At 44.7% G+C, this 23,928-nt stretch overlaps 1 long non-coding RNA gene and 1 other non-coding gene across 2 annotated transcripts, besides 6 other annotated features; one reads left to right on the forward strand and one right to left on the reverse strand.

Moving 5' to 3' along the window:
• Positions 2,999-3,499: an enhancer, noted in NCBI's record as "H3K4me1 hESC enhancer chr15:75412862-75413362 (GRCh37/hg19 assembly coordinates)". NCBI's record gives its function as "activates a minimal SCP1, AML or CMV promoter by ChIP-STARR-seq in primed H9 embryonic stem cells {active_cell/tissue: H9 hESC(primed)}" and the evidence as "EXISTENCE:reporter gene assay evidence [ECO:0000049][PMID:30033119]".
• On the reverse strand, positions 4,014-4,144 carry LOC124900369 (small Cajal body-specific RNA 20). Its single transcript, XR_007064820.1, has one exon.
• Positions 13,214-13,403: an enhancer, noted in NCBI's record as "active region_9835". NCBI's record gives its function as "activates an Ori minimal core promoter by ATAC-STARR-seq in GM12878 lymphoblastoid cells {active_cell/tissue: GM12878}" and the evidence as "EXISTENCE:reporter gene assay evidence [ECO:0000049][PMID:35858748]".
• Positions 13,414-23,791, forward strand: LOC124903530 (uncharacterized). The gene is made up of 2 exons (XR_007064721.1): positions 13,414-13,664; positions 21,370-23,791. It is a non-coding gene; the product is annotated as an uncharacterized LOC124903530 (long non-coding RNA).
• Positions 13,444-13,503: an enhancer, noted in NCBI's record as "active region_9836". NCBI's record gives its function as "activates an Ori minimal core promoter by ATAC-STARR-seq in GM12878 lymphoblastoid cells {active_cell/tissue: GM12878}" and the evidence as "EXISTENCE:reporter gene assay evidence [ECO:0000049][PMID:35858748]".
• Positions 13,674-13,923: an enhancer, noted in NCBI's record as "active region_9837". NCBI's record gives its function as "activates an Ori minimal core promoter by ATAC-STARR-seq in GM12878 lymphoblastoid cells {active_cell/tissue: GM12878}" and the evidence as "EXISTENCE:reporter gene assay evidence [ECO:0000049][PMID:35858748]".
• Positions 22,495-23,186: an enhancer, noted in NCBI's record as "OCT4-NANOG hESC enhancer chr15:75432358-75433049 (GRCh37/hg19 assembly coordinates)". NCBI's record gives its function as "activates a minimal SCP1, AML or CMV promoter by ChIP-STARR-seq in naive and primed H9 embryonic stem cells {active_cell/tissue: H9 hESC(naive and primed)}" and the evidence as "EXISTENCE:reporter gene assay evidence [ECO:0000049][PMID:30033119]".
• Positions 22,726-23,020: an enhancer, noted in NCBI's record as "tiled region #10472; HepG2 Activating DNase matched - State 5:Enh". NCBI's record gives its function as "activates a minimal TATA promoter and a strong SV40 promoter by Sharpr-MPRA in HepG2 cells {active_cell/tissue: HepG2}" and the evidence as "EXISTENCE:reporter gene assay evidence [ECO:0000049][PMID:27701403]".
• Positions 23,792-23,928: the final 137 nt, after the last annotated feature.

The raw sequence follows: 23,928 nt of genomic DNA on the forward strand, positions 1-23,928 counted from the left end.
TTCCAAAGGCCACGAGGGGTTTTAGACCCTGGACCGCCGACATGTACCAAGCCCTGCTCAGCTTCTCTCCCAACACTCAGCTTTTCTCCCAACAGTAAGTATTTTATTCTTTTTGATGCTATTGTATAGAATTGCTTTCTTAATTTCATTTTTATATTATTCATTGCTAGCATAAAGAAATATGGTTGACTTTTATATATTGATATTATACTCCTCAAACTGATTGAATTCATTAGTTCTAGTAGTTGTTTTTAGTGGATTCCTTAGGATTTTCTCTATTCAAGATCATATGCTCCGCAAATAGAGATGGCTTTACTTCCTCCATCCCAATTTCAGTGGTATTTGAAATTAAATTTTAATTGCCCTGGCTAACTGCCCTGGTTGGATCTCCAGGACAATGTTGAGTAGAAGTTGTGAGAGTGGACATCCTTCTCTGGCTCCTGATCTTAGGGGGAGGTTTCAGTTTTTCACCATTAAGTATGAAGTTGGTGTTGGGTTTTTCATAGGTGAACCTTAACAGGTTGAGGAAGTTCCCTTCTATTCCTAGTTTGCTGAGTGTCTTTATCATAAAAGAGTGTTGGATTTTGTCAAATTCTTTTTCTGCATCATTGAGATGATCTTGTGGTTTTCTTCCTTATTCTACTAATATGGTGCATTGGATTGATTCATTTTCGTAAGTCCAGCCAACCTTGCATTCTTGGGAAAAATCCCACTTGGTCAATCTTACATGTTGCTGGATTCAGTTAGATAGTATTTTATTAAAGATTTCTATATCTATATTGACAAGGGATATTGGTCTGTAGAATTTTTGTTTCTGTTTTTGTTGTGATGTCTCTCTGGTTTTGGTATCAGAATAATAACTGGCCTCATAGAATAGGTTAGGAAGTATTCTTTCCTCTTCTGATTTTTGGAAGACTTTATGGAGAATTGGAGTTCATCCTTCAACTGTTTTAAAATTCACTAGTGAAATCATCCCTACTTTTTCTTTGTGAGAAGTTTTTTGATCATATATATTGATCTTGCATACTGTGACCCTGCTACATTTGCTTATTAGTTCTATTAGTACTTAAAGTGCATTCCACAGGGCCAGGTGTGGTGGCTCACACCTGTAATCCCAGCATTTTGGGAGGCTGAGGTGGGAGGATCACTTGAGCTCAGGAGTTCAAGACCAGCCTGGGCAACATAGTGAGACCCCCCCCATCATTAGAAAAATAAAATACCCTCCAAAGAATTATCTACATACATGTCTTCTGCAATTAAAGACATTTTTACTTATTATTTTCCTACCTACATGCCTTTGTTTTCTTTTCCTTCCCTGATTTCACCAGCTTGAAATTCCAGGGTAATGTTGAGTAAGAGTGGGGAGAGAGAATGTCCTTGCCTTTTTCCTTATCTTAGGAGAAAAACATTCAGTCTGCACCATTAAGTATTAAGTTAGCAGTAGTTTTTTGGTAAATAGTCTATTGTGAAGTCCCCTTTTTTATTGCTGATTTTGGCAATTTGTGTATTCTCTCTTTTTTTCTTGGTCTCTATTAAAGCTTGTCAATTTTGTTGATCATTAAAAAAAGAAAAACGACTTTTGGGCTGGGGGCGGTGGCTCACACATGTAATCCCAGCACTTAGGAAAGCTGAGACAGGCGGATCACAAGGTCAAGAGATTGAGACCATTCTGGCCAACATGGTGAAACCCCGTCTCTACTAAAAATACAAAAATTAGCTGGGCATGATGGCACATGTCTATAGTCCATCCCAGCTACTCGGGAGGCTGAGGCAGGAGAATCACTTGAACCTGGGAGAGGGAGGTTTCAGTGAGCCGAGACTGCGCCACTGCACTCCAGCCTGGCGACAGAGTGAGACCCCCCATCACTAGAAAAATAAAATACCCTCCAAAGAATTATCTACATACATGTCTTCTGCAACTAAAGACATTTTTACTCATTATTTTCCTACCTACATGCCTTTGTTTTCTTTTCCTTCCCTGATTTCACCGGCTTGAAATTCCAGGGTAATGTTGAGTAAGAGTGGGGAGAGAGAATGTCCTTGCCTTTTTCCTTATCTTAGGAGAAAAACATTCAGTCTGCACCATTAAGTATTAAGTTAGCAGTAGTTTTTTGGTAAATAGTCTATTGTGAAGTCCCCTTTTTTATTGCTGATTTTGGCAATTTGTGTATTCTCTCTTTTTTTCTTGGTCTCTATTAAAGCTTGTCAATTTTGTTGATCATTAAAAAAAGAAAAACGACTTTTGGGCTGGGGGCGGTGGCTCACACATGTAATCCCAGCACTTAGGAAAGCTGAGACAGGCGGATCACAAGGTCAAGAGATTGAGACCATTCTGGCCAACATGGTGAAACCCCGTCTCTACTAAAAATACAAAAATTAGCTGGGCATGGTGGCACATGCCTGTAGTCCCAGCTACTCGGGAAGCTGAGGCAGGAGAATCACTTGAACCTGGGAGAGGGAGGTTTCAGTGAGCCGAGATTGCGCCACTGCACTCCAGCCTGGCGACAGAGTGAGACTTCATCTCAAAAACAAACAAAACAAAAAGCAAACAAAAAAAAAGGCCGGGCGCGGTGGCTCACGCCTGTAATCCTAGCACTTTAGGAGGCTGAGGCGGGTGGATCACGAGGTCAGGAGATCGAGACCATCCTGGCTAACATGGTGAAACCCCGTCTCTACTAAAAATACAGAAAAAATTATCTGGGCGTGGTGGCGGGCGCCTGTAGTCCCAGCTACTCCGGAGGCTGAGGCAGTAGAATGGCGTGAACCCGGGAGGTGGAGCTTGCAGTGAGCCGAGATGGCGCCACTGCACTCCAGCCTGGGCGACAGAGCGAGACTCCGTCTCAAAAGACAACACAAAAAAACACCAACTCTCTTTTTTTTTTTTTTTTTTTTTTGAGACAGAGTCTGACTCTGTCGCCCAGGCTGGAGTGCAGTGATGCAATCTCGGCTCACTGCAAGCTCCGCCTCCCGGGTTCACGCCATTCTCCTGCCTCAGCCTCCCGAGTAGCTGGGACTACAGGCGCCTGCCACTATGCCCGGCTAATTTTTGTATTTTTAGTAGAGACGGGGTTTCACCGTGTTAGCCAGGATGGTCTCGATCTCCTGACCTTGTGATCCGCCCGCCTCGGCCTCCCAAAGTGCTGGGATTACAGGCTTGAGCCACCGCGCCCGGCCTATTGTTTTTTTCTATTTCATTGATTTCTGCTCTTATCTTTATTATTTTCTTCTTCTTACTTTGGGTTTGATTTCCTTTTCTTTTTTGAACTACTTGAGGTGGAAGCTTAGATTATTGATATTTGATTCGTCTCCCATTGCAGCATAAGCATTTAAATTATGTAAATTATAAATTTACTTATAAGGCTGGGCACAGTCGCTCACATCTGTAATCCCAGCACTTTGGGAGGCTGAGGCAGGCAAATCACTTGAGGTCAGGAGTTCAAGATTAGCGTGGTCAACATGGTGAAACCCTGCCGCTGCTAAAAATACAAAAATTACCCAGGAATGATGGTGTGCACCTGTAATCCCAGCTACTCGAGGATGAGGCAGGAGAATCGCTTGAACCCTGGAAGCAGAGGTTGCAGTGAGCTGAGATCACGCCACTGCACTCCAGCCTGGACAACAGAGCAGATCACTTGGCTGGTCTTGAACTCCTGGCCTCAAGTGATCTGCCCACCTTGGTCTCCCAAAGTGCTGGGATTACAGGTGTGAGCCACCACACCTGGCACCCTGATGGGATTTTGACTGGTATTGCATTAACTCTGTTGGTTGCATTGGGAAGAGTTTGTCACTTAACCATGTTGATTTTTCTACTTTATAAACATTTATGTAGATATTTTTTAGTTTCTCTCATCGGTTTTGTTTTGTTTTCTGCATACTGCTCTTGCACATGTTTCGTTAGATTTTTACAAAGTAGGAATCTGTTTCTTATGCAGTTCTAAATGGTACTTTTCAAAATTTCCAATTTATTTATTGCTAATCTATAGGAATACAATTGATTTTTTTTTTCCTTCTACAAATGTCTGAGGTAGGAAAACAAGGCTGCCCAGCTTGTGGCAGCCCTGATAATCCTCAAAGGCTGATCTTGGCCTCCAGCCCTGACTGAGGAGAAAAGGGGCCACCCATAGCCCCACTGGCACAATTGGTTTTTCTATGCTGACCTCATATCCCATAACTTTGCTTAAGTCATTCATTGTAGGAGCTTTTTGTAGATTCTTTGTGATTTTCTATAAAGGCAATTATGTATTTTGCTAACAGAAACAGGTTTGTTTCTTCTTTGCCAGTCTGTAGGCCTTTTATTTGTTTTTCTTGACTTCTTGCACTGGTTAGGGCCTCTAGTAAAATATTGAATGGGTGTGTTAAGAGGAGGTATCCTTGCTTCTTCCTGAACTTAGAGTGAAAGAATTCAGTTTCTTACCATAAAATATGACAGTAGATGTAGGGTTTTTGTGAATGTCCATCATTGAGTTGAGGAATTCCCATTAGTTCTTAGTTTGCTGAGAGGTTTTCATCAGGAATAAATGTTGGATTTCTTCCATGTCTTTTAACTTCTCTTTCATATTTCACCATTTTTTCATTCTTTGCTGAATTTTTAGTAATTTCTTAAACTGTTTATTTTATTTTATTTTTGAGACAGTCTCACTCTGTTGTCCAGACTGGAGTGTGGTGGCGTGACATTGGCTCACTGCAACCTCCGCCTCCCAAGTTCAAGTGATTCTCAAGCCTCAGCCTCCCGAATAGCTGGGATTACAGGTGCCGGCTACTATGCCCGGCTAATTTTTGTATTTTTGGTAGAGACAGGGTTTTGCCATGTTGGCCGGGCTGGTCTCAAACTTCTGACCTCAAGTGATCTACCTGTCTCAGCCTCCCAAAGAGCTGGGATTACAAGTGTGAGCCACCACACCCAACCTCTTTTGAGGTTTTAAATCTTAATAATTATAGTTTCATTCCTGAGAGTTTTATTTGGTTCATCTTCAAATATGCCTAATTAATTTAATTAGTTTATTTGCCATATTTTCAGTATCGCTTTACAATTCTTTTTTTTTTTTTTTTTCAGACAAGGTCTTGCTCTGTTGCCCAGGCTGGGGTGCAGTGGCACCATCTCGGCTCATTGCAGCCTCCACCTCCCGAGTTCAAGCAATTCTCCTGCCTCAGCCTCCTGAGTAGCTGGAATCACAGGCACGCACCACCATACTCGGCTAAGTTTTGTATTTTTAGTAGAGACAGGGTTTTGCCATGTTGGCCAGGCTGGTCTCTAACTCTTGACCTCAAGTGACCCACCCATTTGGCTTTCCAAAGTGCTGGGATTACAGCTGTGAGTCACCGCACCTGGCCCGTTTTACACTTCTTTAAACATATTAAAAATTTTTTTTCAGCTGGGCATGGTGGTTCATGCCTGCAATCCCAGCACTTTGGGAGGCTGAGGTGGGCAGATCACCTGAGGTCAGGAGTTCGAGACCAGCCTAACCAACACGGAGAAACCCCATCTCTACTAAAAATACAAAATTAGGTGTGGTGGCTCATGCCTGTAATCCCAGCTACTTCGGAGGCTGAGGCAGGAGAATTGCTTGAACCCGGGAGGTGGAGGTTGCAGTGAGCCGAGATTGCATCATTGCACTCCAGCCTGGGCAATAAGAGCAAAACTCCATCTCTCTCTCTATATATATAATAAATATATATATAATAATATATATTATATGTCATATATAGTTATATATTATAATTATATAATCTATAAATATATAAAAATATATAATATATAATATATATTTATAATATATAATATATATTTTTCCGTGTGTGTGTGTATATATATGTGTATATATATGTATTTTTTTTTTTTTTTAGAGAGAGAGAGATGGGGTCTCACTCTATTGCCCAGCCTGGTCTTGAACTCCTGGCTCAAACAATCCTCTAGCCCAGGCCTCCCAGAGTGCTGGGATTACAGCCGAGCGCCCGGCCTGAAACACTTATTTTCTATCCTGCATCTCATCATTCTATTTTATGTAGTATTTGTGGGTCTCATCTTGTTATTCGTTGTTTCTGCTGACTCATGCCCTTGTGGTTTGTTTCTTTTTGAGTTTATTGATGTTTAATTATGAACTTATGTTCCTTGAAATTCTTTGTGGGAAGTCTTTGAATCTGTGTTTAAAATATATTCTTCCAGAAAGGATTTTTGTTTGCTTTTGCCAGGCGCCTAGGGGTACTTCCAACTCAGATCCACTTAAAAATTGTTTTTGGCTTAGTGTTTTTCCAATCACATAGGGAATATGATGTTGGGCTTTTCTCTGTGTGAATATCAGCTTGTTATGCATTTTACTGGATTTCTTTTTAGCCTGTGTTACCTCTCCAGCACAGCTAAGTGGGTACGGCAAAGTCTTCTGTGGCTGAGTTGTTTTCTCCCCATTTCTCCCTTAGGGCACTGGCTTTTGAGAAGTCCCAAATTTGGGGGAGAAAGGAAATCTTTGATAACCTACTTCCCAGGACCAGACCTCAGGTCTTTTCTTCTCTTTCCTCATTTTGTTTCCCCTAAAAGCAAAGCCTCAGACAAAGGTTTTTGTGTAATTAACTTTGGAAGTAATCCCAGGGAGTAGGAGTGAGGGCTGGAGAGAGAAAGAAAGAGGGAAGCCCGGGACAAGGTCGCATTATTTAAGGGGACCTCTGATAGGTGCTTGATTCCATAGGATCTTCCAAGGAGTCTTATGAAATGGGAGATACAAAAAAGACACAATGAGTATTTGCTTGTGTCAATCATTGGTCAAGAGTGGCCTCACAGACATGAACTCCCCTGAACTTGGGGTCTGCGCATGCATAATGGTTCAGGGGATTCCCGAGAGCATCTGCCCTGTGGGGTCAGTGAGACTCAGACAGGAAGGGAGGGGTGGGCCCCATGTGCCCAAGGTGAGGCAGCACCTGCATGAGGCCCACAGAACACTCATCACCTCAGCAGTGGCCAGAATCAGAACTGGGGCCAAGCAGACTGAAGTGGTGCCCAGGAGGTGCCTGGCACACTGGCCATTTACATCCCAGGGTCTCAGAAAGCACAGGCCCCGGTGCAGGCTCACCCTGATGGGGTCATGCTCTTGTTATTCTGGCTTCTGACTGATTCCCTGTTTAACACCCTTTTATCTGTGCTTTCACACACACATTTTTGGTATTTCATTCAGCATTTTTAGGAAGGGATTTCTCTATTCAGCTAGTCTGCATATTTCCAGATAGAGAAATAAATGGTCATTGTTTTCAAATGTTTACATATACTTTATTTTTAAATTTTTATTATTTGAGATGGAGCCTTGCTCTGTCGCCCAGGCTGGAGTGCAGTGGCACGATCTTGGCTCACTGCAACCTCCTGCTACTGGGTTCAAGTGATTCTCCTGCCTCAGCCTCCTGAGTAGCTGGGACTACAGGCGCGTGCTACCACGCCCGGCTAATTTTTGTATTTTTAGTAGAGATAAGGTTTTGCTATGTTGGCCAGGCTGGTCTCAAACTCCTGACCTCAAGTGATCCTCCCACTTCGGCTTCCTAAAGTGCCGGAATTACAGGCGTGAGCTACTGCGCCCGGCCTCAAAATGTTTATATATACTTCAATATTCTTTTTGTTATTATTTGCTAAGTATTGAAACCAAGCATTCCTTTCTGGAGCTCCCATAACTCACTTTGTGCCCTGTTTTGAAAAACAGGCCAGTCAATAATGACAGCAGCAACGCAGCAGCTCCCAGCTTTTCAACACCTACTGTGTGGCTGACACCTGCTGTGGCTTTATAGGCATTATGTCAGTGAATTCTCAAAACTACCCTAAAATAGTCACTCTGGTTCCCTTTTTTCATATATTTTTTATTTTTAAAATTGAGACAAGGTTTTGCTGTGTTGCCCAGGCTGATTTCAAATTCCTATGCTCAAGTGATCCTCCCACTTCGGCTTCTGGTTCCCTTTTCCCAGCCACTGGTTCCCTTTTCACAGAAGAGGAAACCATGGCCTGGAAAGGGGCCAAGGCCACATAGTATTTACGTCAAGCTTGTCCAACCCACAACTCACGGGCCACATGCGGCCCAGGATGGCTTTGAATGCAGCCCAACACAAATTCATAAACTTTCTTAAAATATTATAATTTTTTTTTTTTTTTTTACAAAAAATTAGCCAGGCGTGGTGGTGCATGCCTGTAGTCCCAGCTACTTGGGAGGCTGAGGCAGGAGAATTGCTTGAACCTGGGAGGCAGAGGTTGCAGTGAACTGAGACCGTGCCACTGCACTCCAGCCTGGGCAATAGAGTGAGACTCCATCTCAAAAACTAAAATATAAAATAAAATAAAATAAAAATTTTTTTGGCAAAATTTTTTAAGCTCATCAGCTATCATTAGTGTTAGTGTATTTTATCTGTGGCCCAAGACAATTCTTCTTCTTCCAGTGTGGCCCAGGGAAGCCAAAAGATTAGACACCCCTAATAAGTTGTTGAGCCAGGATTGTGTCCAAAGCTTCCCCACTTTTACTACATCGCATGCCTTTCTATGGAAAAAAGCCTTCCCTTCTTCCCTAGTACTTCTCCCAAAACACACACTCATATAGAGTAGCACTTGAGATCCAGTGCCCCTTGGCAGCCGATTGCAGTGGGTAAGCTGAGCTCAGGGTTGCAGGCCAGCAGGGCGGCAGTCAGCACACAGAGCTTTCCTATCCCCCCAGGAAACCTGCAAGGACCCCAGTAGGCCTTAGATGGCCAGTGTTGGCAAATCCTAACTGGGAGGCAAACTGGGAGAGCCCACTGCCGTTGCAGACTGGTTACTGTCCCCGCTGGAGCCCTGTGGAAGTGGGTAGAAATCCAGGCCTAAGGAGGGTACCAAGCCAGAGCCACCTGCCCCCTAGTACCCCAGCCTGGGGGGGCCACCCAGTGAGCATTTCTGTCTCCTCGGGTGCTGTAGTCAAGGTGAAAAGCAAGTTGCAACCTGAAGGCTGGGCATTCCAGGTATAGGGCTTCTTCTGGTTAAAATGTGTGGGTACGGGGACTAGGGGAGGCTTGGAAGGGGCTGTCCCCAGAGTTTCTATGAGTGAATATATACTTTGAAACACTTAGAACCTTATTGTCAGCATGGACAGACAGGGACCTTGGGGACAGAGGGACATTAAGGCCAACATCTTGTTTTATAGATCAGTAAACTGAGGTCCAGAGACCCATGGCCTAGCGAAGGAGGTTCAAGTGCAGGCCTTCCTGACCACAGTGCACCGCCAAGGCTCCTTCTCTACACCACTGCATGTGTGCGTGTGAGTGGGCAGCTGCACACCATCGTATACGTAAACGTGTTTACGCATGGAGTACATGTGCTTTATGGTGCAGGGGTGAAGGCACAAAGGCGTGTGTATGGGGGGGCTGGGGTGTTATACTAGCAGGCTGAGCAGACTGTAACAAGGGGACACACATCTCTCTTTTGGGCCAACCCATGTTTGGAGAAGACAGGAGCTTTCTCATGCACAAGCGCCAAGAGAGGAAAGTGAACCCAGGTTTGGGCGGTCTGTGGTGACTTGTGCCATGGACCATGTGGAAGCCTGAAGATGCCTGGGGCCTTCGTAGTACCATTGCCTTTAGCCTCCCGTGGCCACCTGCAGCAACTGCCATCACCCTTACTGTGGACGGGAGTTGCACTGCTAAAGTCCCCACGGCCCTGCAGGATGGCCAGAGATGTCTGCCCTCACTCCGCTACCCTCTCAGTCTTCTTTGACCACTCTGGTCCCCCAACCTCAATGTCGACCCCACATCTGCAAGTGACATCACTGTCCATGTAGCTCTGTAAGTCTTCAAACTGGGAGTCAGCCTACCTCCTGCCATCACTGACCTTCAAGCAATCCAGATGAAAAATGCCTCTGGGCATTTTGGGGACAGGAGATATAAGGAATGAGTCATAAATATCCTGTCATATAAAATAGGATGCTATGAAACACTCCCCGGGTCATGTCAAAAGGAGACAGGAGCCAACCTGAATACACTTCCACCAGCCAAAGGCGAGATTTTTTGAGCACCAGTAAGATTAATAACTGCAATGGATTGACACCAATCAGACATGTTTAAATCCACTGATTCACACATATTTAAAAATAACTAGTTTTTCACCTTAGGGGGATGCTAGGCAGCTGGTAAATAAAGGGAAAGCATTAAATATTTGTCATGTCTTTTGCATATGATCTATCTCTCAGGATAACTAAATAATCAATGAGGGCAAGTTTCACTTTGTAGAAATATGCAGGTTAATAAAATAAGAAATAATACAGTTATAATGTCACTATTTTGCAATTCCTCATGAATTTAAGTAATGATCATCCATGGCTGCAGATGTTGCAAAATGAGACACAACCAGAAGTTAGGTGCTTCCTGATGGAAGCACATATCACCATCTAGGAGGTGGTCTTGAAAAAAATAGTTGGACGTGAATTTGTTCAAGCCTCCCTAACTAAATACAGAAGACAGAAGACATGTTAAATGGTACCACAGGGTTGCAATCAACCAAATTCAGACTGTGGGAAACTGCAAGGATAAACAACCTAGTTTCCAGCTTGGTGCGGTAGCTCACGCCTGTAATTCCAACACTTTGGGAGGCTGAGGCTGGTGGATGACTTGAGGTCAGGAGTTCGAGACCAGCCTGGCCAACCTGGTGAAACCCTGTCTCTACTAAAAATACAAAATTTAGCTGGGTGTGGTGGCACACGCCTGTAATCCCAGCTACTCGGGAGGCTGAAGCTGGAGAATCACTTGAACCCTGGAAGCTGAGGTTGCAGGGAGCCGATATCACGCCACTGCACTCCAGGCTGGGTGATAGCAAGACTCGGTCTCCAAAAAAAACCAAAAAACAAAAACAAAATTAAAAAAATCCCCCAATTTCCTTAACAAAACAGTATTACAAAACAAAAAGAGACGGAGGGGAAACTTGCAGGTTTTAAGATTTATCAACCAAGCCCTATTTATAGACTTTATTTGTATATTAATTCAAACACCTGTTAAAAAAGAAAATGAGGCCAGGAATGGAGGCTCACACTTGTAATCCCAGTGCTTTGGGAGGCTGATGCGGGTGGATCACTTGAGGCTAGGAGTTCCAGATTAACAAAGTGGGCAACAAAGTGAAACCTTGTTTCTACAAAAATTTTAAAAAATTACCAGGCATGGTAGTGCACGCCTGTAGTTCCAGCTACTCAGGAGACTGAGGCAGAAGGATTACTTGAGCCCAGGAGTTTGAGGTTGCAGTGAGCTATAGTTGAACCACTGAACTCCAGCCTGGGTGACAAAACAACATCCTGTCTCAAGAAAAAAAAAAAAAGAAAAAGAAAAAATTATAATTGAAGAAATAGAAAACACCAACTGGATTATAATTTCCATTAATGACTTATTATTGATTTTTATATGATAAAGTAGTGACTTCTTTCTTTCTTTCTTTTCTTCCTTGCCTTTCCTTTCTTTCTTTCTTTTTTTTTTTTTTTTTGAGACAGATTCTTGCTCTGTCACCCAGGCTGTAGTGCAGTGGCTCGATCTCAGCTCACTGCAAGCTCTGCCTCCCAGGTTCACGCCATTCTCCTGCCTCAGCCTCCCAAGTAGCTGGGATTACAGGCGCCCGCCACCACGCCCGGCTAATTTTTTGTATTTTTAGTAGAGAGGGGGTTTCACTGTGTTAGCCAGGATGGTCTCGATCTCCTGACCTTGTGGTCTGCCTGCCTCAGCCTCCCAAAGTGCTGGGGTTACAGGCCCAGGAACAGGATAATGATAATATCTGTTCCAAACAGTGTCTTCACTAAATAATCCCAACCAGTAAGAAATAGAATCATTTCAATCACAAGACTCAAGTCACTCCAAAAAGATGATGCTAAGAGCTGTTGATCACGTGTTCCTACAGCGATCCATACCAACATACTGATGAAGCTACAGCTAAGGTATTAGGCTACTGTGCTCCCATCTAGGAAGTGACCCCCAGGGATTCTTCACCCTGTGCTTTCACCAGCACTCTGTATATGAACTTAACCACCTCAGCACTCCCCCCTGCTTTTGCCATGTCTTCTGTGTTTGGATGTTGAGTATTGCTGGATGGAAAGCTTTGCTATCAGCAGAACAATGGTTGAGGTTGTAAAAGCCTACTAAGTGCCATTCTAAAATGGGTCGTTGTGCTGTATGAAACAACAACCACAACAACTCAGAAGCTTCAAACAATAATCCTTTATTGTCACGCTCATGACCTGTGGGTCAGCTGTACAATTCAGCTGAAATTGAATCGTACCTTGGTTGATCGAGGCTAGACTCCAAGCTGCAGGCTGAGTTCAGATCTGCTCGGCATGTCCCTCGTTCTCCTGGGACCAGCGGCTACCCAGGGATTATGGCCTGTTCCTGGAGACTCATTCCTGGACCCAGAAGGAAGGAGCAGCAGCTATATGGGGCACGTTCTTGTCATGGCAGATTACTGCAGCATGAGAAGGCATGTCCAACTGAGCAAGCACATTTCAAAACTTCTCATGTCAGGTTCACAAGTTTCCTACTGGCCAAAGCAAGTCACATGGCCAAACACAAAATCAAAAGGTGGGAAAGTATTCTCTGTCCACCATGGCAAGGATGTGGGTGGATAATTATATTACAAGGGACAAATAATTCAATCTTTCACAGTCTTTGGGGATCCAGGGCACTGCCTTTGTTCATGCCCCAGCACTTCTCATCAAGACAAAAGAACATCCTGCTAGGAGACTTTCCTGCCACTAGCAGAGCCCCTTCAAACCTAGTGGCAGCTAGAGTGATTTTTTTTTTTTTTTTAACTAGCTCTCCTCTAGTTTTGTCTGTTTGTGTGTATGGTAAAAAAATGCATAAGATAAAATTTACCATCTTTTTTTTTTGAGACAGAGTTTTGTCTTGTTGCACAGGGTGGAGTGCAATGGTGCATTCTTGGCTCACTGCAACCTACGCCTCCCAGGTTCAAGCTATTTTCCTGCCTCAGCCTCCCGAGTAGCTGGGATTACAGGCATGCGCCACCACGCCCAGCTAATTTTTGTATTTTTAGTTGAGACAGGGTTTCACCATGTTAGCCAGGCTGGTCTCAAACTTCTGACCTCAGGTGATTCACCAGCCTCAGCTCCCAAAGTGCTGGGATTATAGGCGTGAGCCACCACACCCATGCCTGGCTCCCCTTTCCTTTTTTTTGTTGTTTTTTTTTTTTGTTTTTTTTGCATAGAGTCTCACCCTGTTGTCCAGACTGGAGTACAGTGGTGTGAACTCGGCTCACTGCAACCTCTGCCTCCTGGGTTCAAGCAATTCTCCTGCGTCAGCCACCTGAGCAGCTGGGACTACAGCCGTGTACCACCACACCTGGCTAATTTTCGTATTTTTAGTAGAGACAGGGTTTCACCATGTTGGCCAGGCTAGTCTCGAACTCCTGACATCAAGTGATCCACCTGGCTTGGTCTCCCAAAGTGCTGGGATTACAGACGTGAGCCACTGTGCCTGGCCAAAATTTACCATCTTAACCATTTCTAAGTATAGAGTTAAGTACCGTTAGTTAAATTCGCATTGTTATGGAAGAGCTCTCCGGAATTTTTTTAGCTTGCAAAAGTGAAACTATACCCATGAAACTAACACCTCTGTATTTCCCTCTCCCCAGCCCCTGACAACCACTATTCTACTTTCTGTTTCTATGAATTTGACTACTATAGACAACTCATGTAAGTAGAATCACATAGTATCTGTGTTTTGGGGACTGGCTTATTTCACTTAATAAGATGTTCTCAAGGTTCAACCATGTTGTAGCATGTGTCAGAATTTCCTTCCTTTTTAAGGCTCAATAATATTCCGTTGTATGTATATACCTCATTTTCTTTATCCATTTGTCAGTGGACACTTGGGTTGCTTTTGACCTCTTGGCTATTACAACTAGTGCTGCTGTAAGCATAGTGTGGAAATATCTCCTTGAGATCCTGTTTTCAATTATTTTGGCTGTAAAACCAGAAGTGAGATGGTTGGGTCATAGGATAGTTCTATTTTTAGTGTTTTAGGAACTTCCATATTGTTTCCCATAGTAGCTGCCCCATTTTACATTCCCACCAGCAGTGCAGAAGCATTCCAGTTTTCACACATTATTGCCAACACTTGTTATTTTCTGTTATTTTGATACTAATTATCCTAATACGTGTGTTTTTTTTCTTTTTTATTTTGGAGACAAGAGTTTTGCTCTTGTCTCCCAGGCTGAAGTGCAGTGACGCAATCTCAGCTTACTGCAACCTCTGCCTCCTGGGTTCAAGTGATTCTCCTGTCTCAGCCTCCTAAGTAGCTGGAATTACAGGTGCCTGCCACCACAACTGGCTAATTTTTTGTATTTTTAGTAGAGACAGGGGTTTTACCATGTTGGCCAGGCTGGTCTCGAACTCCTGACCTCAGGTGATCCACCTGCCTCAGCCTCCCAAAGTGCTGGGATTACAGGCGTGAGCCACAATGCCGGGCCTCAATTTTTTAATTAAATTTTTTATTTTGAGATAATTATAGATTCACATGCATTATAAGAAATAATATAGACAGATTCCATGTACTCTTCACCTGGTTTCCTTCTCATTTCCTCAGTGGCAACATCTTGCACAATAGTACAATATCCACAGCCAGGAAATTGATATTGATACAATCCATAGATCTTGTTCAGATTTCAGCAGCTTACATATTCAGAGTGACATTTTAAACAAGCAAATCTGATCCTATCACTTACCTGCTTAAAACTTTTCCAAGGATGTTCATTACATAATTGTTTGAACTGGTTTATTTTTGAGACGGAGTCTCGCTCTATTGACCAGGCTGGAGTGCAGTGGTGTGATCTCGGCTCACTGCAAGCTCCACCTCTGGGTTCATGCCATTCTCCTGCCTCAGCCTCCCAAGTAGCTGGGACTACTGGCGCCCACCACCATGCCCGGCTAATTTTTGTATTTTTAGTAGAGACGGGGTTTCACCGTGTTAGCCAGGATGGTCTCGATCTCCTGACCTTGTGATCCGCCCGCCTCACCCTCCGAAAGTGCTGGGATTACAGGCGTGAACCACCGCGCTGGGCCTGAACTTGTTAAAAAATGAGAACCAACCTAAATGTCCAGCAGCAGCAGGATGGTTGAATAGATTACATTGCGTCCATATAATAGGCACACAATCCAGCCAGGAAAACTTGGAGCAGTCGTATGTACGCTGATATGGGCTGGGTTCCATGGTCTATTCTTTTCCTACGGAAAAAAGCCAGGTACAGGATTGTGAATACCTGGCCGGGCACGGTGGTGCACGCCGTAATCCCAGCATTTTGGGAGGCTGAGGCGAGTGGATCACCTGAGGTCAGGAGTTTGAGACCAGCCTGACTAACATGGTGAAACCCCATCTCTACTAAATACAAAAAATTAGTGGAGTGTGGTGGCACATGCCTGTAATCCCAGCTACTTGGGAGGCTGAGGCAGGAGAATCACTTGAACCCGGGAGGCAGAGGTTGCAGTGAGCCGAGATCATGCCATTGCACTCCAGCCTGGGCAACAAGTGCGAAACCCTGTCTCAAACAAATAAATAAATAAAAATAAATAAATTGTGGATACCTTTTGGGTATAAAGGCATACAATATAGGAAAGGGTACATAGTACACTGACCACAGTAGTTGTCTCAGCAGGCTGAGATTGTGTAGTGGGATGGAAAGTTAATTCACTCTGTTTTGTAGTGGTTCTCAAAGTTCTGCGTTTGAAGAACCCCTCAAAGTTCAGGACCCCTCTACACTCTAAAAATTACTCAGTGTCCCCAAAAACATTTTCATTAATGAGGGTTATCAGAAATTAAAGCTAAGAAATTTAAAAAATATTTACATATTAATTCATTTAGAAATAACAATAGGCCAGGCGAGGTGGCTCGTGCCTGTAATCCCAACAATTTGGGAGGCCAAGGCAGGCTGATCACTTGAACTCGGAAGTTCGAGACCAGCCTGGCCAACATAGTGAAATGCCATCTCTACAAAATATACAAAAATTAGGCTGGGCGTGGTGGCTCATGCCTGTAAACCCAGCACTTTGGGAGGCCAAGGCTGGTGGATCATGAGGTCATGAGATCGAGACCATCCTGGCTAACACGGTGAAACCCCGTCTCTACTAAAAATACACAAAATTAGCTGGGTGTGGTGGCACACGCTTGTAGTCCCAGCTACTTGGGAGGCTGAGGCAGGAGAATGGTGTGAACCCGGGAGGCGGAGCTTGCAGTGAGCCGAGATGGTGCCACTGCACTCCAGCCTGGGCAACAGAGCAAGACTCCATCTCAAAAAAAAAATTATATATATATATACACACAAAAAAATTAGTCAGGTGTGGTGGTGGTGTGTGCCAGTAGTCCCAGCTACACAGGAGGCTGAGACTGGAAAATCACTTAAGCCCAGGATGCGGAGGTTGCAGTGAGCCGAGATTGTGCCACTGCACCCCGGCCTGGGCAACAGAGTAAGACCCTGTCTCAAAAACAAAAAAAAAAAAAAGAAAGGAAATAACAACAATAAAGCAATTATATGTTAATATAAATGACAGTTTTGTAAAAAGTAACTATCCTTTCCAAAACAAAAACATTTAGTGAGAAAAATGACTTTGTTTTGCATTTTTGCAAATCTCTTTAATATCTGACTTAATTGAAAAATCTTCATTCTCATATCTGTTTCTGCATTCGATCTATCAGAATACATTGTTTTGGTTGGAGTATGTGAAGAAAATTCATGTCAGTAAGATATGTAGTTAGAAAAAAGAGACTTTAAATAGCCTTTTGTGGGTATTCTTTGATAGCACATCGACTGGACAAGCAGCAGTTTCTCAAAGCAATGTAGAATCTGAAACCATAGCAATGACATATTCATACTGTTACATTAAAACTCATTGTTCCGGCTGGGCGCCGTGGCTCATGCCTGTAATCCCAGCACCTTGGGAGGCTGAGGCCAGACGTATTACATGAGGCCAGGAGTTTGAGACTAGACAGGCCAACATGACAAAACCCCGCCTCTACTAAAAATACAAAAATTAGCTGGGTTTGGTGATGCACATCTCTAATTCTAGCTACTTGGGAAGCTGAGGCACAAGAATTGCTTGAACCCGGGAGGCAGAGGTTGCAGTGAACCGAGATTTTGCCACTGAACGTCAGCCTGGGTGACAGAGCAAGACTCTGTCTCAAACAACAAAACAAAACAAAAGCCATTGCTCTCTCTTGTCCCCCCACTTTTTTTTTTAAGACAGGGTTTCACTCTGTCACCCAGGCTAGGGTACAGTGGCTTGATCATAGCTCATTGCAACCTCAGACTCCTGAGCTCAAGCAATCCTCCTGTCTCAGCCTCCTTAGTAGCTGGAACTATAGGTGTGTGCCACCACACCTGGCTAATTTTTTATTTTTTAAAATAAAGATGGGGTCTTGCTATGTTGCCCAGGCCGGTCTCCAGCTCTTCGCCTCTAGTGATCCTCCCACCTCTACCTGCCAAAGTGTTGGGATTACAGGCATGAGCCACTATACTCAGCCCTGTCTTGTACCTTAAGTGAATCTTTTATGTGAGTGTAGTTCTGTAACATTATGCATTTGTCATTTGGAAAGTACTGATAGAGTTATGCAGATCATCCAATTTTTGACACATTTTGTTAGACAATATTGAAAAATCATGTGTGTTAATATCACTACTAATCTCATAAGAAAATTGTTTAAGTAAGGCTGGGCACGGTGACTCATGCCTGTAATCCCAGCACTTTGGGAGGCCGAGGTGGGTACATCACCTGAGGTCAGGAGTTCAAGACCAGCCTGGCCAACATGGTGAAACCCCATCTTTACTAAAAATACAAAAATTAGCCAGGTGTGGTGGCGTGTGCCTGTAATTCCAGTTACTCAGGAGGCTGAGGCAGGAGAATTGCTTGAACCCAGGAGGCAGAGGTTACAGTGAGCTGAGATTATGTCATTGCACTCCAGCCTGGGTGACAGAGCAAGACTCCATCTCACACAAAAAAAAAAAAAAGAAAAGAAAGGAAAAAAAAAGTGTTTAAGTACTTAGAAGCTTGTTAAGCTCACAATGGTGGATACACATTTTCCAAAATTCTAACTTTTGCTTGAAAGCTCAAATTTTATCATTGGCAACAAATGCTGTCAGTTGCTTTTATGGAGTGACAGTTTCACTTTATTTATTGTTAAGAAATGTCTGCTAAATACCAGTCGGAATAACCATAGTTTGTCAGTCTTTCAAGTAAAAATGGTGTTCTATGAAAAAAGCAGCTAGTTTGGCTGACAACTCAGACAATCACACAAGCGCTTTTCCTTAGAGAAGCCCATCATCCTTTGGTAAGCAGCAGAAGTGCTTTCTACATACTCCTCCTTTCATCACACAAAATATCAAGCATAGAAAGATATATACTGCTCACAGATTGAGAGTTAATAAAAGTATTTTTTACTGTTCCATCAAGGTCATTCATAAATGAAATGTTTTTAAATTGCAAATACATGGCAATGAAGAATACAATGCTAGCCTGGGCAACATACTGAGACACCGTCTCTACAAAAAATAAAAAAATAGCCGATGTGGTGGTACGTGCCTGTAGTTCCAGCTAATTGGAGGCTGAAGTGGGAGGATCGCTTGAGCCCAGGATGTCAAGGCTGCAGTGTCAGGGAGGAAAAACGTTTTGTCTGCACTCAGGTTCATTGATTAGAGGTCTGTGAATTAAACTGACAAAGGACAGAATAACAGGAGAAAAGGCACACAACTTTTATGAATATTTACCTGCATGAGAGTTCACAGAAAAGAACTGAAACTCAAAGAAGTCATTAGACATGGGGACTTACACAACATTTTAACAAAGGAAAGAGGGTTTGGGCATCAAGGGTGACAAATTGTGGGGAAGTGGCTAGGAAATATATGGGGGAACGAATGGACGATAGAGGTTATTTTAGTAAGGTCTGTTTATGCAAAATCATCTTGGTATTCACAAAGGGAAATTTATGCCCTGTTTTTTGCAGCTAAGAGGAAAGCAGAGAACTCATCCTGCAACTGTTGATTCCCAGTTGCATTCCACTCAAAATAGTTCTTCTGCCAAAGTGGCTTATTTTGGAGTGGCATATTTTGATCCTCTCAGGCACTACTGCCTTAACTTGTGTTGAAGCAATGACACGTTCACTCGCCATTGCTCTCAAGCAGTCAGTCAAATGATAACACATCATTTGAATGAAAAGGGCATAGAATGTCTGAGTATTACTATAAACATAGTTTTGACCTTGCAGATCTCTAAGTATCTTGGGGACCTCCAGGGTCCATAGGCCATACTTTGACAACACTGCTGTTCCGTATTGTATTACTTGTTTACTTACTTTAACCAACAAATAAATAATTTTTTCAGACAGGATCTTGCTCTGTTACCCAGACTGGTGTGCACTGGCATAATCATAACTCACTGCAGCCTTGACCTCCCGGGCTCCATTGATCCTCCTGCCTCAGCCTCCTGAGTAGCTGGGGCTACTGGTGCATGCCACCATGCCCAGCTAATTTTTGTATTTTTTGTAGAGTTGGGGTTTCACCATGTTGCCCAGGCTGATCAGAAATTCCTGGGCTCAAGTAATCCTCCCACCTGGCCTCCCAAAGTGTTCAGATTACAGGTGTGAGCCACCACACCCAAATAAACAATTTTAAAGCACCTCTTCCATGGCTCTCTACTGCTGAGTGTAAAGTACAGATGCCTTGGCCTAAGATCCAAAGCCTTAAGTGACTGGCCTTTGCCTCTTTGCCACTGGCATGTCCTCGCTCTTTATCCAAACACAGGTCAAGCCACAGAAGTTACTGGGATTCCCAGAACGTATTTGCATGCGTTTCTGTCCCTGCGTCCATCTCCATTTTCTCCCAAGCATTCTTTAAGCCCAAGTACCACAGTCAATCTCTCTGACTCCTCCAAGAAAAGGCCATTGCAGCCATGATTAGTGAAGGGCTGCAGATACACAAGTAAGGTGGGATGCACTGCAACTCACCTAGCATCCTCCCAGGGCTTACTCTGCCATAGGATCTCTGGTGCCAGACCTAAAAATGTGTGCGGAAGGAATGGAGGCAGGTGCTGGGGAGAGGGGAGGCCTGCCAGGAATTCTAGAATGCACCAAAAAAGGCCACTTCCTTCTGTTGCCAAGGTCCTGGGTCTCTATGCTTTAGGGCAAGGGTGTCTGGGGATGGTCCTTGTGAGGGGCAACTGGGGACCCTAGTGGGGCAGGCCTAGGGCTGCCAGATAAAATATAGAAAGCTTAGTTAAAATTAGATTTAAGATAACAAATACTCTTTTAGTATAAGTATATCCCAAATACTGCATAGAACCTCCTCATCCTAAAAAAAAATTCAATGTTTATCTGAAATTCAAATGTAATGGAGTCCTGTATTGTTGTTTGGTAAATCTGGCAATCCCGTGTAGGCCTTTGCTATTCAGCTCGCTGAGCAAAGTGGCCCCTCTTCACTTACCTTGCCACCTACCAGACCTGCCCAGACCTGGTCCTGGCTGCCTCCAGGCAGCACAGCCCACTGAAAGGAACCCTTTCCGTCCCAAAGCTGCCCAGAGCCTGAGAACAGAAGCAAACTGCGCGCTTGGATGGATATGGCGGATTAGGCTATGCCTTTGGAGAACTAACTCCTCTCGGAGAAGGGGGCTCTCTCTCACAGCCAGGACCTTCTGGGGTGCCTATGCGGAGACGCCCTCCTTCCTTGACCCACTTCTTCTCCCCACTCCCCGCTGATGCCCAGCCCTCTCTCTAACCTTCCTGAGTTGCTGTCTCTGCAACTCCCCCTGCCAGGACTGGCTATCAATCCCTTCAGAAACTAAAGCCCAGTCCAGCCCCTGGGAGGCCTCCTGGGTGTCTGGGATTCCCCTGGTGGGATGCGTCTGGCCTGAGGTTGGAGACAATGATGCGTTCTTCCTCCCAGCCAGTGGCTTCTCTACCAGCCAGACTGCTTTGCCTTTTCTCCTTTTAAGGACCTGAGGGCAAACTCTCCTTCCCTCTGGGAGGACTTCTTTCTTCCAAAGGTCCCAGAGGGGGGTGTGTCCTTTAGCTTGAGGCCCTCGCTTTCCTCCATTCTCATGACCTTGCCCCCTTCCCTGTGGAGGGTCTTGTTATGCTGAAGGCACCTTTCCCTCCTTCCGGACTGGCGTTCCTAGCATCCCCACGGAAACCGAAAATGCCTCCTGCAGAACCATCTGGCCACATGGCTCCAATCTGCCCTCTCTCCCACCCCCGGTTTCCCCTCCTGGAAGGGGGACACAGGGAAGGAGGCTTAGGCAAGGCATCCCTGGCGTGCCTCAGTCCCTGAGGCATAATAATATAATGATTGTTGCTGTTTCATGCCACTAAGCCTTGGGGTGTTTTGTTACATAACTGTAACTGGAATGTATTTGATCACAGGCTCCATCCTGCACCAGGAGCAGCCTCGGGTTCGCGTGTGTGGGAGCTGCAGAATGCCTGTACAAACTTCTATACCCTCCCCATGTCCCTTTGCACAAACAGCCCCCATTGGCCATCCTTTGGGCCTAGAAGTTCATATCCTGCTGCCTGTTCATGTCCTGGGAAGCAACGTGGGTTGGAGGCCAGCTGAGCTCTGGAAAGTGGGCTTGGGGTCTAGAAGAAGGTCGTGGGCTCCACATGGGTTCAAGCCTTAGTCCCAATGGGCCGAGGAGCAGAAGAGGACCACAGTGAGGTTCTCTAAAGCATATGGCTTAGACAAGGGCCCCATGCCACAGCTAAGGGCAGTACTAGCTGAGCACTTCATATCTTTCATCTCTTGTTTGTTTGCTTGAGAAAGAGGATCTCCTTCTGTTGCCCATGCTGGAGTGCAGTGACTATTCACAGGCGCAATCACAGCTCACGGCAGACCCAAACTCCTGACCTCAGGTGATCCTCCCACCTCAGCCTCCCAAGTAGCTGGGACTACAGACATAAGCTACTGCACCCAGCACTATCCGTCATCGCTTGATCCTCACCCAGTCCTGTTCCATTGGGCTTATCGTCTTCATTGCCCCAGTGAGAGCACCAAGGCTCATAGAAAAGCCAGTCGCTTGCCCAGGGTCCTGGGACATATGTCTGAAGCCAAGGCCAGGAGCTCTCCATTATACCATATGGCCTCAAAGGCCCTCCTTGGTTCAAAGACACTTGATGGAGCATTTTGTAGAAACATCATCTCCTTGGCTTTGTTTAAAATCAACATCACCACCCACAGCCCCCCACCACACACACACAAAAAATATATCTGTGCACAGTGGCTCACGCCTGTAATCCTAGCACTTTGGGAGGCCGAGGCAGGCGGATTGCCTGAGCTCAGTAGTTCAAGACCAGCCTGGACAACACAGCAAAACCCCATCTCTACTAAAAATAGAAAAATATTAGCCAGGTGTGGTGGTGCATGCCTGTAGTCCTAGCTTCTTGGGAGGCTGATTCAGGAGAATTGCTTGAATCTGGGAGGCAGAGGTTGCAGTGAGCTGAGATCACATCACTGCACTTCAGCCTGGGTAACAGAGCGAGACTCTCTCCAAATAATAATAATAATAATAATAATAATAAAATAAACTTCAAAACTAAAACAACTTTAGGCTAACTGGGAAAACTGAAATAGGAAGACCTCGCCTTGACCCTAGGGAATGAAGCCAAAACTCAGAGGGCTGGAGGTATCCAGCTGCCTAGCTGCTGTCCAGCTAGGAGCACAGTTTCTTTGGAGGTCCCCAAACCATGCTGGTGGAGCCTCATCTATCTCTTTAGCTCCCCATCAAAGGGATCACTTTATCAGCTGCACAGTCTTTAAGCCCAACGTCCACAGCAGGACTCTCTTTTAAAACAGTTTGGCCTTGAGAGAGGCAGTCCGCTTGTTATCTATGTTTTGTTTTGTGTTGGCTTCCTGGCGAGTTATCAGGGAGACTTTGGTTTCTTTGTCTTCTGTTATCTCCCTGCTGGGTTTCAAAGCTGCCCTCTGAGCTGCTGTCAGCCTGAGCTGTGTCTTCCCCTGCAGGGACAGAGAGCCGGAGGTGGAAGGGGCCACAACTCTACCAGAGCCTTCCCTTCCAGCTGTTGTCTCCTGGGCGCCCACCCCCAGTGCCTGGAACTTGCCAGCTCTCATCAAGGCTGGCTAGGTGTCACTTGTGGCTTCTCCAGGGGCATATAACATCAAGAGAGTGGGCCTCATAGGGCCAAGATCAGGGGAAAGGAGGGGGGTTTGAAACACCCTTTACAAAAATTATAACTAAGGAAATTATGACAGTGAAAGAGATCAGACCTAACTGACTCCATCTTGCTTCTAACCTTTAAGTTGTCCTGGTTCATTCCTGGACATAGACAGAACTAACTTTGGGAAGGAATTCAGTTTATGGTTTGACTCGGAAACAAAATTGATAATAGACCTTTCCTGAAAAGACCCCCTTCTTGCCTAGGACCCGCCTTTGCACAACTAACAAATTAGCTACAAGATGAGAAGCTGTGGTTTAGGGGTCATGCAGCCTCTGGCTCCAAGAGTCTGAACCTCCCCAAATTGCTCCTGTGGATAATATCACTATTGTAAAACCTAGATCAGCGCTTGAGATATTTTGCAGACCCTGCACTGGATGGATCAACTGATACCACCCAGACTGGTAATCTGGCTCAACCAGTTCTGCCATCCTACCCAGGAACAGAAGACAGCAAGAAAACATCACTTAAATCCCCTATTCAATCCATCTCCAACCTAACCAATCAGCACTCCCCGCCTCCCAAGCTCTTACCCACCAAATTATCTTTTAAGACTCTGATCCCCATATGCTTGGGAAGACTGATCTGAATAATAATAAAACTCTGGTTTCACCCACAGCTGGCTCTGTGTGAATTACTCTTTCTCCATTGCAGTTCCCCTGTCTTGATAAATCGGCTCTATCTAGGCAGTGGGCAAGGTGAACCCATTGGGCAGTTACATGTTCACAGAGCAGCCACTTTCTTTAAAATTGA

Source organism: Homo sapiens, chromosome 15, assembly GCF_000001405.40.
Source record: "Homo sapiens chromosome 15, GRCh38.p14 Primary Assembly".
NCBI classification, from domain to species: domain Eukaryota; kingdom Metazoa; phylum Chordata; class Mammalia; order Primates; family Hominidae; genus Homo; species Homo sapiens.